Source organism: Homo sapiens, chromosome 6 (genome assembly GCF_000001405.40).
Source record: "Homo sapiens chromosome 6, GRCh38.p14 Primary Assembly".
NCBI lineage: Eukaryota > Metazoa > Chordata > Mammalia > Primates > Hominidae > Homo > Homo sapiens.
The window spans coordinates 70,827,370-70,843,109 of NC_000006.12; the positions used below are offsets into that span (position 1 = coordinate 70,827,370).

A 15,740-nucleotide genomic window follows, 5' to 3' on the forward strand; every position below is an offset into this window, starting at 1 on the left:
TGAATATAGCACAAAAGAAAATGTCATTGAATTTTAGATGACCAAAGGTCTGGTATGAATTAATGGTCTTCTGTTGCTTTGGAGAAGGTCAGCTCCACAAATTTATTCCTCCATTTGTTTTATGCATGGCTGTAGCATAGAGAGTATGGCTAAATGGGTAGATGTTACAAATTGTCTGAAGAGGATACTTTCTAATATTTGTAATTATCCAAATGTAAAATATGCTATATCATCATATGCAGTGATTCCATAACACTGGAAGATTTTCTTACAGAGAGAATGGACGTGTAAGAGAGATGTTACAGTAGTGTTTTGTGTATCACATAATTCACTAAATGTCTTCAAGGCTGCTCCGACTTCTGCAATTTGTGTAAATCCTTGATAACTTCTCCAGCCCAGTGAGATACTGTTTGGGGCGGTAGTGTCCATAGGTCTTACAGAGAACATTTACTGAAAGATGTCCATATGATTGGGGAAATAAAATGTAGATTGTAATAAATCCTAAAAATACAATTTAAGAAAGAATATTAAATTCAAAAAGAGTACTCTATGTGTTGACAGCTTTAATTTGTAAAAGATCTATATTATAAAGAATGGTAAACAGGAGAAAAAGAAACTAAAGATTTTGAATAAATAAGATATTGGGAATAAACAAGAATTATATGCAAAATTTTTTCTCACATAAAATAGTTTTAAGGTTGTATATAATTCAGTTTTGAAAGCATACAAATACAAACAGATATAGTAATTATAGCTATCAATCTATATAGGAATATAAGACTGGTTTTTATTAATGTATTTATAGCATATAGTCAAAAGACTTTATTTGAGTAAACAACTAATGTAGGTAATATAGTGGATAATATTAACTCATGAATTTTTTACTGAAAATTTTAGTAAAGGTTAAACCTATGAAGATTTCAGTAGGTAATCAGATAGGATAGTATTCTGGGAATTAAAGGTTAAACCTATGAAGATTTCAGTAGGTAATCAAGATAGGTTAGTATTCTGGGAATTATGTGTTGTTGAGTAACTTGTTAGAAAATGTATCTCAGATAATCAGGTTCTACTGAGGCCGTAGATTAGTTTTTTCCTAAAGTATTGCTCTGACCACATCACAGTCACAAAGCCTCCCACCTACAACAATGGTGGTCAGATTTTTCTTCCTCACTGCAGTTCATATGCACAACATACTTCTCCAGGAGTAATATTTTTTCTTTTCACTACCCCCATTGAAAAACAGTGACATATATGAATGCTAGCTCTAGTTGGCTATTTATTTAGGTCCTTCCACATTGTGGAAATAGAATAAAAATCTTCAGATTCATCTTTTATTCCTTACATGTAGAACTAGAGGTCAGTCAGATACAAGCACCATCTAGCACCTTTCCCACTCAGTGTTCTTCACATGGTGCCATTGCCAATTCCAGGGAGGTCAATGCTTCAGTGAGTGGTGATTGCTCCACTGTACTCCAGCCTGGGCAAGAGTGAGGCTCTGTCTCAAACCCCAACAGAACAAAACAAAAATTAGCTGGGCATGGCGGTGCATGCCTATAGTTCCAGCTACTTGGGAGGCTGAGGTAGAAGGATCACCTGAGCCCAGGAGATCAAGGCTGCCGTGAGCTGCGATCTTGCCACTGCACTCTAGCCTGGGCAGTAGAGTGCACCGTGTTTCCTATTTGACTCTTTCCTATTTTTCCTACATACACAAAAGTTAATGTCACTACCTTTATAAAATCCTAATCACCCACGACTACCATTACCTTTGAACTTCAAAGAGTCATACTTTTCATGTGGTCTTTATAGTGTACCTTGAGTTAAAATTATTGGCATGCTTGCTCTGACCCTCTATCAGATTGTGTTTATTTTTTTTTTCTGTTTTTTTCTTTGTCTTCTTTTTGTTTTTGTTTTTGTTTTTTTTATTTTTGAGATGTGTTTTTGCTATGTTGTCCAGCCTGTTCTCCAACTACTGGGCTGAAGCGATTCTCCTACCTCAGCCTCACACATAGCCGGAACTACTGTCACGTGCCACCTGGCATGATTTTTTTAAATTGCAGTTTTCTGTTATGTCATTGTAAGAATATGCATGTATTGTTAAGCATTGGGTAAATATTTATTTTTAAATCTAATTTTTGATAGATAGAAATTATTCAGCAAAAGGCACCATGGTGCAGGGCAAGGAACCCTGTTAGGAGATTAACCTTTGCCACGATAGCCACTTACGGAGCCTTTGGACAAATCATGTCATTTAATTTCCTTAATGTTAAAATGAAAAAGTTGAATGTAATACATTTTATGTTTCTTGTTGTTCTAAGATTCTAGGAATATTAAAGGAAACTGATTATAAATAAACTAAGTTATAATTTGAGATGTCAGTTTTAAAAGAAAATTTTGAATAATTACCACTAGAACTTAGAAAATTGTATAGCTTTCCTATTGACTATATATTTATGCTCTTGTCTACATTAACTGGCCAGCTGAAGAATAGTGAATCACCTTCTAGAGGCTCAGCTGTTATGTCTGTTATTTAAAGGGCTAGGAAATGGTGGTAAATGTAGGAGTTGGGACCTAAATAGTTTTTTATTCAATTATATTCTGTGGGGTAGCGTTAATGAATCACAAAAAGATTGGGTAGTAAAGCTTCTGCTAATAAAAGCTTTAATAATTTGAACGAGACATCTGCTCAATGTGATTCTAAGGAAATTACATTTTATAAAATTGCTTTATCTAAGTAGACTTATGTTCTTGCTTGTTAGAAAATTTTGTTTAATAAATTATAGATTGCCTAATTTTATCTACCCACAGTTGACTGCATTCTTCACTTATTAAAAGACAAATTTCCTATGCAATGTTTTCAATAGCAGCAGAATTTAAAGTGGAGTGAGTCTGTATCTGTTGCTTGCCATGTCTGAGATGAATGTGAGGTATCAAAAGGATGACAGTTAAATGAGGGAAGGTGTGGTCATCAAGGTATTAATTTACTGTTATCACACACTAGTATCCCTGCCCATAAATCCTAACAAGATAATAGCATTTTTATTCTTAAATCTTCTAAAATTTGGCTTCCAGATATTATTTACTTTGTATTTATGTGATAGCTATATTTTAAGTATCTTAAATAATTGTATCTTGTAAGTCTTTGCAAAGTACAATACAGTTGGTATGCTACAGAGCAAAAGTACAAATTGATAGTTTATGTATTCATGTTTGTTGTTTAAGGTTTACAACCTTTATGTCTTGAAAATATTGATAAAAATGACTTCTTATGTTATAGGCAAACCTGGAAAAAGTCAAACATGTTCTTGAAGACTTTTCCATTTTAGAAAGTTTTCAGGAAGACATAATCCATTACACATATGTCTGTGTCTGTTAACCAAAATATTTAATTGGAATACATTTTGGAAATCTGTTGTTCCTCTCTACACATTAACATTGGTGATTTATATTGTAAAGAAAGACAAAGAGAATCAAATGTGCTTTGCTGTAGAAACTAAGTAGACTTTAGAGTGGCCATGAGACAGGATTTTTAGCATGTACACAGGGTACTGCTGCTCTCTTCTTGATTAATCTGGATTATTTAAATTGCCTTGTTGCTACAGATACTGTAATGAGGGACAAGAAGAAAATTATTCTGAACTTCCTATCTTATTTCATGAGATTTGATTTTAATTATTTTAAATGTTTGGTTTTTGAAATGCTGGATTCTTCAATGTGACAAAAGAGAATTATCATTTCAACTGTCTCTTCCTAGTCCAATAGCTGAGGCCAGCCATGATTTTCCCCTTCAGTCAGAGACTGAGTACCTGTCTTGTCAGCTTTTAGAATATGGCAATATTAGGCATCCTAGCAGTGGTCATGATATAATGATTGGAAGTAGTCTTTTCTTATTTTTACTTTTTTTTTAACTTTTATTCTAGGTTTAGGGGTACATGTGCAGGTTTTAGTTATGTAGGTAAATTGCATGTCACAGGGGTTTGGTGTACAGATTATTTTGTCATCCAAGTCATAAGCATAATACCTGATAGTTTTTTGATCCTCTCCCTCCTTCCACCCTCCAACCTGAAGTAGGTCCCAGTGTCTGTTGTTCCCTTCTTTGTGTTCATGTATTCTCAGTGTTTAGCTCCCACCTATAAGTGAGAGCGTGCAGTATTTAATTTTCTGTTTTTGCATTAGTTTGCTTAGGATAATGGCCTCCAGCTCCATCAGTGTTGCTGCAGAGGACATGATCTCCTTCTTTTTTATGGCTGTATAGTATTCCTTGTGTATATGTACCACATTTTCTTTATCCAGACTACTGTTGATGGGCATTTAGGTTGATTCCATGTCTTTGCTATTGTGAACAGTGCTGCGATGAACATACGTGTGGATATGTATTTATGGTAGAACAATTTTTATTCTCTTGGGCATATACCCAATGATAGGATTGTTGGGTCAAATGGTAATTCCATTTAAGTTATTTGAGAAATTGCCAAACTGCTTTCCACAATGACTGGACTAATTTACATTCCTACCAGCAGTGTATATGTGTTCCCTTTTCTCCACAGCGTTGCCAGCATCTGTTATTTTTTAAATTTTTTTAATGATAGGCACTCTGACTGATGTGAGGTGGTGTCTCATTGTGGTTTTGATTTGCATTTCTCTAATAATTAGTGATGTTGAGCATTTTTTTATACACTTGTTGGCTACGTGTATGTTTTCTTTTGAAAAGCGCTTATGTCCTTGCCCATTTTTTAACGGGGTTGTTTTTTGGTTGTTATTTCGTTTAAGTTCCTTATAGATTCTGAAGATTAGACCTTTGTCAGACGCATACTTAGCAAAAATTTTCTCCCATTCTGTAGGTTTTCTGTTTACTGTTGGTAGTTTCTTTGGCTGTGCAGACGCTCTTTAGCTTAATGAGGTCCCATTTGTCAATTTTTGTTTTTCTTGCAATTGCTTTTGGTGTGGAAGTAGTCTTTTGATAGGCTTTGCCCACCTTGATTTACTGGTGATAGTATTGGGTTTAAATGTACAATGTAATGGAATAAAACACAACACCTAGCTATTTAAAAATTTTTTTAAAAAACATTGAATCTATGTGTGTGTGTATCTTTATTAGGGGATTGCATGTTTTCAGGTTTTTTGGAACCTTCATAATGGCAGTATCTATGCAAAGATTTTCTTTATTCCATCTCAGTTTGTTTTGTGCTGCTGTAACAGAATAGCACAGACTCATTTATAAACAAAAGAAGTTTATTTGCTCATGGTTCTGGAAGCTGAGATGTCCAAGAGGACAGCTCCAGCATCTGGTGAGGTCCCTCATGCTGTATCATCCCATGGTTGGAAGCTGGAAGGGCAAGAGAGCACTTGAACAAGAGGGGGCCGAAATTGTTTTTATAACAAATTCACTCTCTTGATAACTAACCTATGCCTGTGGTAATGATATTAATCTGTTCATGAGAGTAGAGCCCTCCTGACCTCATCATCTCTTACTAGACTCCACCTTTCAACACTGTTACACTGGGATTACATTTCCAACATGTGAATTTTGGGTGACACATTCCAACAATAGCATCTCCTGAGTCTGTATTTTAAGTTATTATTACTCATCTAGGACTAGGAACATAAGTACTTACTTCCTGTCGTTTTACACAAAAATCTGTAAAAATATTTTTAAATATAAATAAGAAATAACTTTCAGTTTTTGTTGAAGTCTTTCAAGAAAACTGTATAGAAAATTAATAACTCTTAATGGATATTAAGCTCTAAAAGATTAAGTATTTGTTACTCTATCTAGAATTTTAGAAGGATTCCTTACCTATGTAGTTTGTGCTTTGGTGTATCTGTCCTTAAATGTTTTAAAAATAAAAATAGTGAGGTTAATTTCTTATGTTTACAATTATCAGTGAAGAAGAGTATCATCTGAATTTAATCTTTGTAGCTTTCACTAATATATATGAAGAAGTATATACTGTATATACTATGAAGACATAGAAAAGTAATCTCTAAAATCACCTTTGCCACACGTTGTGTTCAGGTTACGGCCTCCACAAGATTTGATAATGGAGGGATACAAAGTAAATTTTAAAGTGATCAATCCTTTTGCTTTTTTGATTTGTGGGACAACCTTTCAGATGCCAACTCTAAGGATAATTCATGTCTGAATTGTTGAAATCCATCTAGAATAGCCAACTCTATTTGGAATAATAGGGTTTAGGGCATAGACATTTCTCATTCATAATCTGACCATTGTAGGAGCAAAGGAGCAGACTGTCTTTAGAGCAGCATTTGTCAACCTACCACTCTGCTAAGAAATACATTTTACATTATGATCCAGATTTGTGCTCACATGTGTGTGCAAATGTGCAAAACAACAATCTGGGAATATTTACCTTTCTTTTATGCAGTCAGTGTACTCTATTTTCTATTCTGTATCATTTTTATATGCCAAAAAAAGTTTCGTTGTGGCCCATAAAATAGATTTCAAAAACTGCTAGTGGGCCCCACCTGCAATTTGATAAACTGTTTAGGATTTCTCTTATTCTCGCCTTAGTGTTTCTCTTTATTTTGCACAGCTATATATATGTTCTCATTTATACAGTTTCCTATGAAAATGGTTGATGACTACCCATTTAAATTGAAATGTAAGGAAGATGAGAAGCTTTTAGAACACAGATACATGTGTGAACATCTGGAAGGAAAGATATTTTCCAAATTGTTTGCAGTAGTTCTGAGGGTGGGAGTTGGGATTACTAGAGGACCTCTGCATTGCTCAATTTAGCTTTTTCTTTCCTTTTCAAACTATGACAGATAGTTTCATACTCAGCAGCATTTTAAAAGGTAGTTCTAATTTGGTGACAAATGCCTTATAAACAAGAGTTTCTATTTGAATTTTTAAAAAAGATCCTTTTTAGCCTGAAGAGGTTCCAAAGTCTTAGATCATAGAAAATAAATAGGAAGGAATTCCTCACAAGTTTAGTTTGTTTTATGCTTTTTTCCATGGAAGAAGATTCAGTAAAATACACCAAAAAAAAAAAAAAAGAATGCTAAATTTGGAGTGGCAGAAAATAAGAATTTTAGTTCCTGTATTCCTATTTGGCACATAACATCTGAGCCTCAGTTAATTTGCGGAATGAAAGTGTTTGGCCAGATTTTCTAAGTTTATTTTCAACTTCAAAGTTTTCTGATTTTTAAGCCAAATTAAAATAGGGATTAGACTTAACTACCTACTTAAAGACTACTTTAAGACACTCTTCAGAGTATTATAGGCTGTGATGAGACCAATGAAGACCCACCCCAGGAAGCTGCTAGGATCCTGCCCTGCAATATTTGAAGTTTGCATGCTCGTGGCCACACGATTCTCAGATTCCCTTGCAGATTTGATTATTTATAGTAGCAGATTGAGTAATCAGTTGAAAAGAATTCCTTTCTTCATGACTACAGGGAATATTTTTCTTGAAATTATTTTGAAATCCTTTTGCTAAGCAAGATAAGTCTGAACCTGTATTAGAGGTTGAAAAGTGAAAGAATAGAGAATGTGAAATGGATTATGTTAAACTTCTGAAAATTATATACTGTTACAGGTGGCTAATTCTTTATTTGAGAGAGTTATTAAAGAATTGGGCCGGGCGCAGTGGCTCACGCCTGTAATCCCAGCACTTTGGGAGGCCGAGGCTAGCGGATCATGAGGTCAGGAGATGGAGACCATCCTAGCTAACACGGTGAAACCCTGTTTCTACTAAAAAAAAAAAAAAAAATTAGCCGGGTGTGGTGGTGGGCACCTGTAGTCCCAGCTACTTGGGAGGCTGAGGCAGGAGAATGGCTTGAACCCGAGAGGCGGAGCTTGCAGTGAGCCAAGATTGCGCCACTGCACTCCAGCCTGGGCTACAGAGCGAGACTCCGTCTCAAAAAAAAAAAAAAAAAAAAAAGAATTGACACCTGGTAATAGTAGGCTAATTGGTTAAACAATAATTCTAAGGGAGAGTGTAGTGATTAAAAAACAAATAAGGGTAGATATGTGTTCTTAGAAGTTAACGTATCTCTAATAGCTAACAAAAAATGAACTCATGTAACAACTAAGTTGTGAATTCTTCAGGTAGTTGTAGAAGAAATGATCTTGAAATGGTTTGAGAAATGAATGAATGTTTTCTTTATTTATTTATTTCATTTTGTTTTTAAGAGATGGGGTCTTACTCTGTTGCCCAGGCTGGAACTGCGGTAGTGCAATCATAGCTCACTGCAGCCTTGACCTCCTGGGCTCAACCAATCCTCCAGCCTCAGCCTCCCGAGTAGCTGAGACTACAGGTGTGCACCACCACACCCAGCTAATTTTTTCATTTTTTGTAGAGACAGACTCTTGCTATGTTGCGCAGGCTGGTCTCAAACTCCTGGGCTTAAGGGATCCTCCTACCTTGTCCTCCTAAAGTGCTGGTATTACAGGTGTGAGTCACTGCACTCAACTGAACGTTTTATTTTCTTAGTTTATTAGAAGTAGGCTTTAGAATTGATAATCCAGTAGGTGTAGGTTTTTTCATTCTGTCCTACGCAATGTTTTTTGTGAGAAAGTAAGTTTGGAATGTGTAACTATGACTTCGGCTCCTGAGAACTAGAAGAATATTATATTTAAAAAGTAATTAATAATGTAGATTCAGGAAGAAAGTATATCAAATACCATTTCATTAGGCTTTTCCTGGCAGTTGTGTCTCATGTATCATACAGTGTGTGGATGATGGGCTAACAGTGTGCTCACGAAGACTCCAAGGCCTCCCCAGTCTCAGCTAACAGGATGTATTAGTCCGTTTTCATGCCGCGGATAAAGACATACCCGAGACTGGGCAATTTACAGAAGAAAGAGGTTTAATTGGACTCTCAGTTCCATGTGGCTGGGGAGGCCTCACAATCATGATGGAAGGCAAGGAAGAGCAAGTCACATCTTATGTGAATGGCAGCAGGCAAAGACAGCCTGTGTAGGGAAACTACCCCTTATAATACCGTCAAATCAACAGCACAGGAAAGACCCGCCCCCGTGATTTAATTACCTCCCACTGGGTCCCTCCCACAACACATGGGAATTATGGGAGCTATAAGATGAGATTTGGGTGGAGACACAGAACGAAACTGTATCACAGGAGTACATTAGTAGTAGCTAGGAAATAATATGAAATGCATTTCTTCAAAATATATAATTTCATATAAAAGATGGGAATTACGGGATCTACAAGATGAAATTTGAGTGGGGACACACAGCCAAACTCTATCACAGAAGTACATTAATAGTAGCTAGGAACTAATATGAAATGCATTTCTTTAAAATGTGTAATTTCATATAAAAGAGCTAGTAGTTAAGGACAATTATATTAAGAGTTAAATTGTTTTATTCACTATTTTGGGGTCCCAATATGTGAGGATTGTCATTGCAACTTCAACAGTCATGTTCGCTTGTTTTGTATATGACAAATAATATTCTAGGTTTTATTATACTATGTTTCATATTTTTTTTACACTAACTTTATCAGAACCCTGTAATTAATTGGGGCTTAAAATCTTGTTAAATTTACTTAAGAAAAATTAATAAATCCAATTATTTACTTTAAAGCTGCAGAAGAAAGATCAGCAACTGGAGCCTAAAAAAAGTACCAGCCCTAAAAAAGCTGCGGAGCCCACTGTGGATCTTTTAGGACTTGGTAAGTAATAAAAAATAAAAGTCACTGCTGGAGTTACAAAACAATTGAAACCTTTACTTGGAGTGAATATAATGGCTTTATCTTGAGTATGCCAAAACGTACCTGTTAACTGAATTTGAAAATGGTATGATTAGTTTGCTAACTTCCCACAAAAAAGAAATCTTTAATAAGGGAGCCAGTGTCTGTCAGCACTGTTTTCACTGAAATACAAGTAATGAGTTCTTTGGGGAAAAGAAGATATCAAAGTAATCTTCAAAGGCTTGCTGGATGTGACATTTTAGCGCTTACAATAAAGAGTGGATTATTTTCTCTTCTCTCTCTCTCTTTCTCGAATTTTTAGTTTTGTGGGGGATTTTTCCTCTTAGCAAAATAATTCTAGGGTAGCCTTATTGTAAAATACGTTGGTTTAAAATAAAATTTAATTTTGGTTAACTGAAGCAACACATTTTGCATCCAGATCTAGTGACTAGATTCATATAACTTATTCAATGAGAATAAGAAGTGCTAATTTTAATATAATGTCCTGTTTGTTCTCATGGCTGAAAGGTATATATTGTCTATGTGGTAAGTAAACAGGCCTTCATTCAAGGAGTGTTTATAGTGTGCTTATCTACAAATATTGTTAGCTTCTCTCTCTCTCTTTTTTTTTTTTTACATTTTTTTCTTCTAAAAGAATTGGCTTGATGAAAGGTTACTTTTAGTAATACCTGAGCCTTGGCACAGGAATAATTTAAATTTTTCTTTTTTTTTAGTTTGGAGAAAGATTGAGAAGGAAAAGAGTGAAAGGCAGTTAGTTGAAGTGGAAGAGTTGACCTTCATGTACTGCTTTCCAAAAAATTGATCCTAGTTGTTATTGAATAAATTGTTGTCTGTTTTAAGAATTATAGCTGAATGTTTTATTCATTTCTTAGGAAGCTGGTACATCGTACAAATATACTCCCTGGAGGTACAATTCTTCTATGATGGTAAAAAGTTGTGTATTAGAAATATAAAAAATAACTGTAATTTTGAAAATAAGGCTTCAGTCCAGGGGCTCTAAATATAATTATGTTGAATTGTAGTCCTCATAATTTCTTGTTTTATTTCCTTTACTGTAAATGAGAGAAAAAGAAAAGAAATTATTATTAAAGTAAAAAAAAATCTTAGTAAAACTTTAGTATATCATTATCTTCACTGCAGCATTTCTTTTCCAGTCTACATGCCTGGTTTATTAGTTCATAACTTAGAAATATAAAATATAATCTAGGCCTGATTCATATCTTACACTCATTCATTCACCAAATAGCTACTGTCTATTGTGTGTCAAGGTACCATTGTAGATACTAGGGAGATAGATCTGAAAGAGGACAGACTGCAACCCCTGCCTTCTGGGGCTTTCATTCCATCTGGAGAGACAGTGAATAAACAATTAAATAAAATATATTGTAGGTTATATGTGGTAAATACTATAGATGAAAGAAAACAAAAATGGATGGTTGTAATTTTAAATAGGGTGGACGGGGGGCATTCACAGATGTCTTATTGGAGCAAAGAGGTGAAGAAGGTCTGGGTATCTGGATCTGTAAGCAAGAGTATTCTGAGAAGAACACAGCAGATGCAAAGGCTCTTCAGTAGGAGCCTACTTGAAGTGTGCAAGGACCAGCAAGGATGACAGTGTGGCTAAAGTGGAATGATCTAGGGGAGAGTAGTAACAGAGGAGACAAGGAAGGAGGGGGTAGGGAGGGGGCAAGCTGAGTATAACAGGACTTTGGCTTTAACTCTGAGTGACCTGGAAAGACACTGGAGGAATTTGCTGAAAAGAAATAATCTGACTTTTGTATTTGAAGAATTATTGTGGCGGTTGTGCTGAGACTAGATTATAGTAGGGCAAGGTGGACAGGAAAGGGTTTTTTTAAGGATGACATTACAAGATGTTTAGTGTTAGAAATGAGCTTGTAGAGAGGTAAATCTGATACTTTCAGGACAAGGAAAAATTGCTCTAGCAGTGTCCTTGAATAGCCCGGAGTGGATGGGATCTAGTTGACAAACGGTATGAGTGGCCTTTCAGATACTCCATTATTGTTGGAATAATACTGCATAGTAAATAAGCCTCAGGTTTCAACAGCTTACAACATTAAACATCTGTTTCTCTTTCTGTGGGTCAGCTAGGGCAGCTCTACTGTAACTTCATTTGATACATTTTCTACCTTCCTGATTATTGCAGGGCACTTTTTACCAGCCATTTCACTATTGCAATATGTGTCTCCATTTTAAGTTCCAACAGTGTTTCCTTATCTTCTACCACCTTGTCTCAAAGTCATTGCACAGATTTTAGGGTTTGGTTGTGGCAGCACCCTTCTTGTATCAGTTTCTAAAGTAGTCAGCTCTTGCTGTGTGTGTTACATAGCAAACAACTCCAAAATTTCAGTGGCTTACATCAACTAACATTTATTTCTGTCACTCATGGGCCTGTAGGTCTGCTGGGATGTCACTCTTTTGGACAGTGGAACATTTTCAGGACAGTGTCTTTAAGGGAGAACCAAAGTTCATTTAGCAGGAGAAGTTAGGGAATGTTTGTGAAAAAAGGTTAAGAATATAAGGGGGATTTTGCAATGACTCACAGTGGGTCATTAGATCATTTGGCAGAAGAGTTCCAAAGATAGGAGGAGTGGGAGATGGGGTTAGAAAGAGGGCTGTCTTGCTGTGAGGGAGTTGTAGCAGCAGGGAAGAGGAAGTGTCTTACCCAGAGCACATACAGCTCTTCACATCTGCTGGTTATCAATTTCCTAAACTCTTAAAAAATATTTTCAGACTTTTTTTTTAAAAAAGCTATGTTTCAGCATAAAATCGATGAATTCATGAAAGTCCAGGAGACTACAGAGAATCAAAGGTCTCTTTCAGCTCAAAACAAACAGTGGTTCTAAATCTGGATTGATGATTGGTGTCCACCTTGGGCCTCAGGCTATTTATCTGCTCAGAAGCATGCCGCTCTCCTCCAATGGGACCCTGGTTTTCCCCTGTAAATTGAAACACAGCGGGGATTGGGGGCGTAGGTGCCTTGAAGTATGATTTATGGTCATGCAAAGATGACAGCATATCTCCGTATGAGTGAGACTAGAACAGACATTAACTTAAAACATTTCCAGAAAATATAGAGAGAACTTGTATAGCGATAGTTCAGTTAACACAGCTATGGATCCTTGGGACTCACGGCCTTCTTTATCACTCTTAACAGTTTCATAATAGCCTAATACTTAAGACTAGTTTTTGATCTTTCCTTTATATGGGACTTTAATGAACTTACTTTCTTTTGTGTAACCCAGTAACTCAGGTAAAACCTTTCTTAAGCTCACCTTTCCTGATCTACTACCCATTCAAAGTTCAAACATAAAATGCTTTATATTATATATACTTTATAGCAGAGGTTGTCCATTTTTTTCCAAGAAGGGCCAAATAGACATTATTTTTGGCTTTGCAGGCCTTATGATCTCTTACAACTATTCAACTCCCATTGTAGTGTGCAAGTAGCCATAAACAAACATGTAAATGAATGAGCATGCTTGTGTTCCGATCATGCTTGTGTTCCTATCAACTGTAAAAACAGGCATGGGCTAGGGTTTGCTCACCCCTGCTTTATGTTCCCAATAGTACCTACAAGAGCTGCCTCATATTTAGATATTAATTTGTGTTTGAAAGCTATAGGACTACTATTTATTATAGTACTTTACTCTCTAATACCATAAACAGGGTGAGATACTTGACTTGCCTCGTCTTAGAAATTACCAAGGGCCTGGGGCCCCTCTTGACTAAGTGCCAGATTGAATAATCTCTGAATGTACCAGATTTGAATCAAACACAGACATATCCTGACTTGAGTATGCACGTCCTATGTTAAAATAGAATTAAAATCAGCTTCTAGGGTTTGTGAGAAGAGTGCTCTTCGGGTCCCCTTACTTAGGAAGCTAGTTTAGGACTGTGAATTATACTGTTAGGGTAGTGTCTATTCTTTGTTGTTTATTAGTTTTAAAGATGATAAAAATTGACAGACTGCTTACCAATTGGTTAGGACAGTTCCCCCCGACTAATGCTTCTATTCAATGGGGCTCATTTTTAGAGTGTGGGGGCATAAGACCGCCTCTGAGAATAAAGTCTTCAAGGGCGAGCACATGCTTTGGGCATAAGGCTTGAGAAGAATTACACATTAGTGGCCTTGAATGTGACCTTAGAGGTTTCATTTCAACCTCCCATTAATGGTTCCTGCAGGGGTTCTGTTTTGTGGCCATCTGTGTACCACATGCGCACTGCAGAGCAGCCTGGTTCCTTGTCAGGAGGCGTTACCCACAGTCCTACCAGACACAGAGTTGTATGTGTCGGGTGCACTGCCGAGGCTGTCTGGGGGGACCGCATCCTCTCAGTGCCCCAGAAAGCATCTCACAAAGAATCGAGTCATGATCTTGGTAATGAAAATCTAGCTCAGGGGTGTACATCATGTGTTTCTCTATTCACTGCTTATATAAAACTGATTTGATTTTATCCATTCTATTCGTTACTTTAATCTGGGGAAATTTCTATCTAAACATTCATAACTTTTACTTTAAATTATTTTAAATACTGAACTATATGGAGAAGTAGGTAGAGATTCCCTCAGTTTTTTCTTAATTGAAACACTCAAAGGAACATACAGTTTTGGGCAAGTCGATGAGAAAAGTTTGCAAATTTTAGTTCCCCCATTCATGTTTGTGTTCAGGAAATAAAGGCTTTAACATATGACAGTGGTCAAGACAATGCTAGTGAAATTAAGCCATTAGTATATAACCCATTTTATTATTAGCAACATATACCCAGTTTTATATGAGAGAGGTGAATACAGAAAGTACTCTACTTACCTTTCAAACAGAAGATTCCTACAGAGAAATTTCTAGCCATTTCTCAAAGTCCATGTGCTATATAAAGCAAATTTGGGAATGAGCTGAGTAAAAGAATGCCAGATTTAGCAGCAGTGGTCCTGGTGATCCACAGTTACCAGTGGACCTGGAAAACCGCTGGTGTCCTAGAGCTACCTATTTGATCAGATCTGGAGGACGTTTGTGTAGTTATGTGCACATTCCCCTTCTCTTGGAGGAGGATTGAAGGTGAGGAAGACTGTAGCAGAAGTGCCCAAGAAAATTTTATAGTCAAGTTATGTTTTTCAGAGATGGTTTAAAACCTGATAACAACTTGTATTGCCTCTGCTCAGAAAAGTATGTTCAGTGAACTATTATTATGAACTATTATTACCCTTTCAAAAAGGAGGTCTCAGGGATTGGTTTATTCTTATGTAGTCACACTGCATAGGAAAGAAAATGCAGTTACATGAATATATTGGTGTAAGGTAACTAGCAATGGGCGGATACTTGCAAGTGGTCCTGAGTCAGTAGTAGGGCAGTTGGTGAACTGACACCAGAAACGGGTGCCGCTGGGTGAGTTGATGATATCACAGACTTTAGAAGAGAGCAAGAAGGGACAGCTTCTTAGAAACAGCACAGAACCTCCAGAGAATGTGCTGGTGGATAGGACAAAGAATTGTTAGGTGTTGAGAGGAGTAAAATTGACCTCTGAATGAGGCGACTTCAAACTACGAGTAACAGGAAGCCTGAAAATGGCTTAAACATAAGGACATCTAATTATCTCATTTGAAGAGAAATCGGGAGACACGGTGGTTTGGGGCCGTGCAGTGGTGGAACAGTGAGCGCAGGGAGCCAGCTTCCTCTTTGCTTCTCCTCATTCTGCCGCCCTCATCACAGCACTGGCTTTACTCTGGAGGCTTGTCACCTTATGGCCAACACATGGAAGGTGCAGCATCCTATCCTCAGGACCACGCCTAAAGGATGGCTTTTCCTTACCAGTTTCTTTTCTCAGGAGTAAAAACTTGCCAGAAAATTCCCCAGCAGGATTCCCAGGGTACGCTTGGTCAGAATTGGATTATATTACCTCACTAGTTGCAAGAGAGGCTAGGAAAATAGTATTCATCCTATAGAATGGAGGTAGGCTGTGCCAGCAAGAAGCGCCCAGATGGGGCTTTGGCAGTCTGTGGTATCTGGCACAGTTGCATTTCATCCTGAC

At 36.7% G+C, this 15,740-nt stretch overlaps 1 protein-coding gene across 10 annotated transcripts in view; it reads left to right on the forward strand.

Annotated features, from left to right (window-relative positions):
- The window catches only part of SMAP1 (small ArfGAP 1), a 194,133-nt gene that overhangs the window by 159,487 nt on the left and 18,906 nt on the right, over positions 1–15,740 (forward strand). For 8 of the 10 annotated variants that reach the window (NM_001044305.3, NM_001281439.2, NM_021940.5 and 5 more), the window contains one exon: positions 9,572–9,659. In NM_001044305.3, coding sequence (NP_001037770.1) covers positions 9,572–9,659 — 88 coding nt within the window. Of the gene's footprint in view, positions 1–9,571; positions 9,660–10,411; positions 10,541–15,740 lie in introns of those variants that run through there. The other 2 variants (XM_005248760.6, XM_047419230.1) reach the window with 1 other exon arrangement.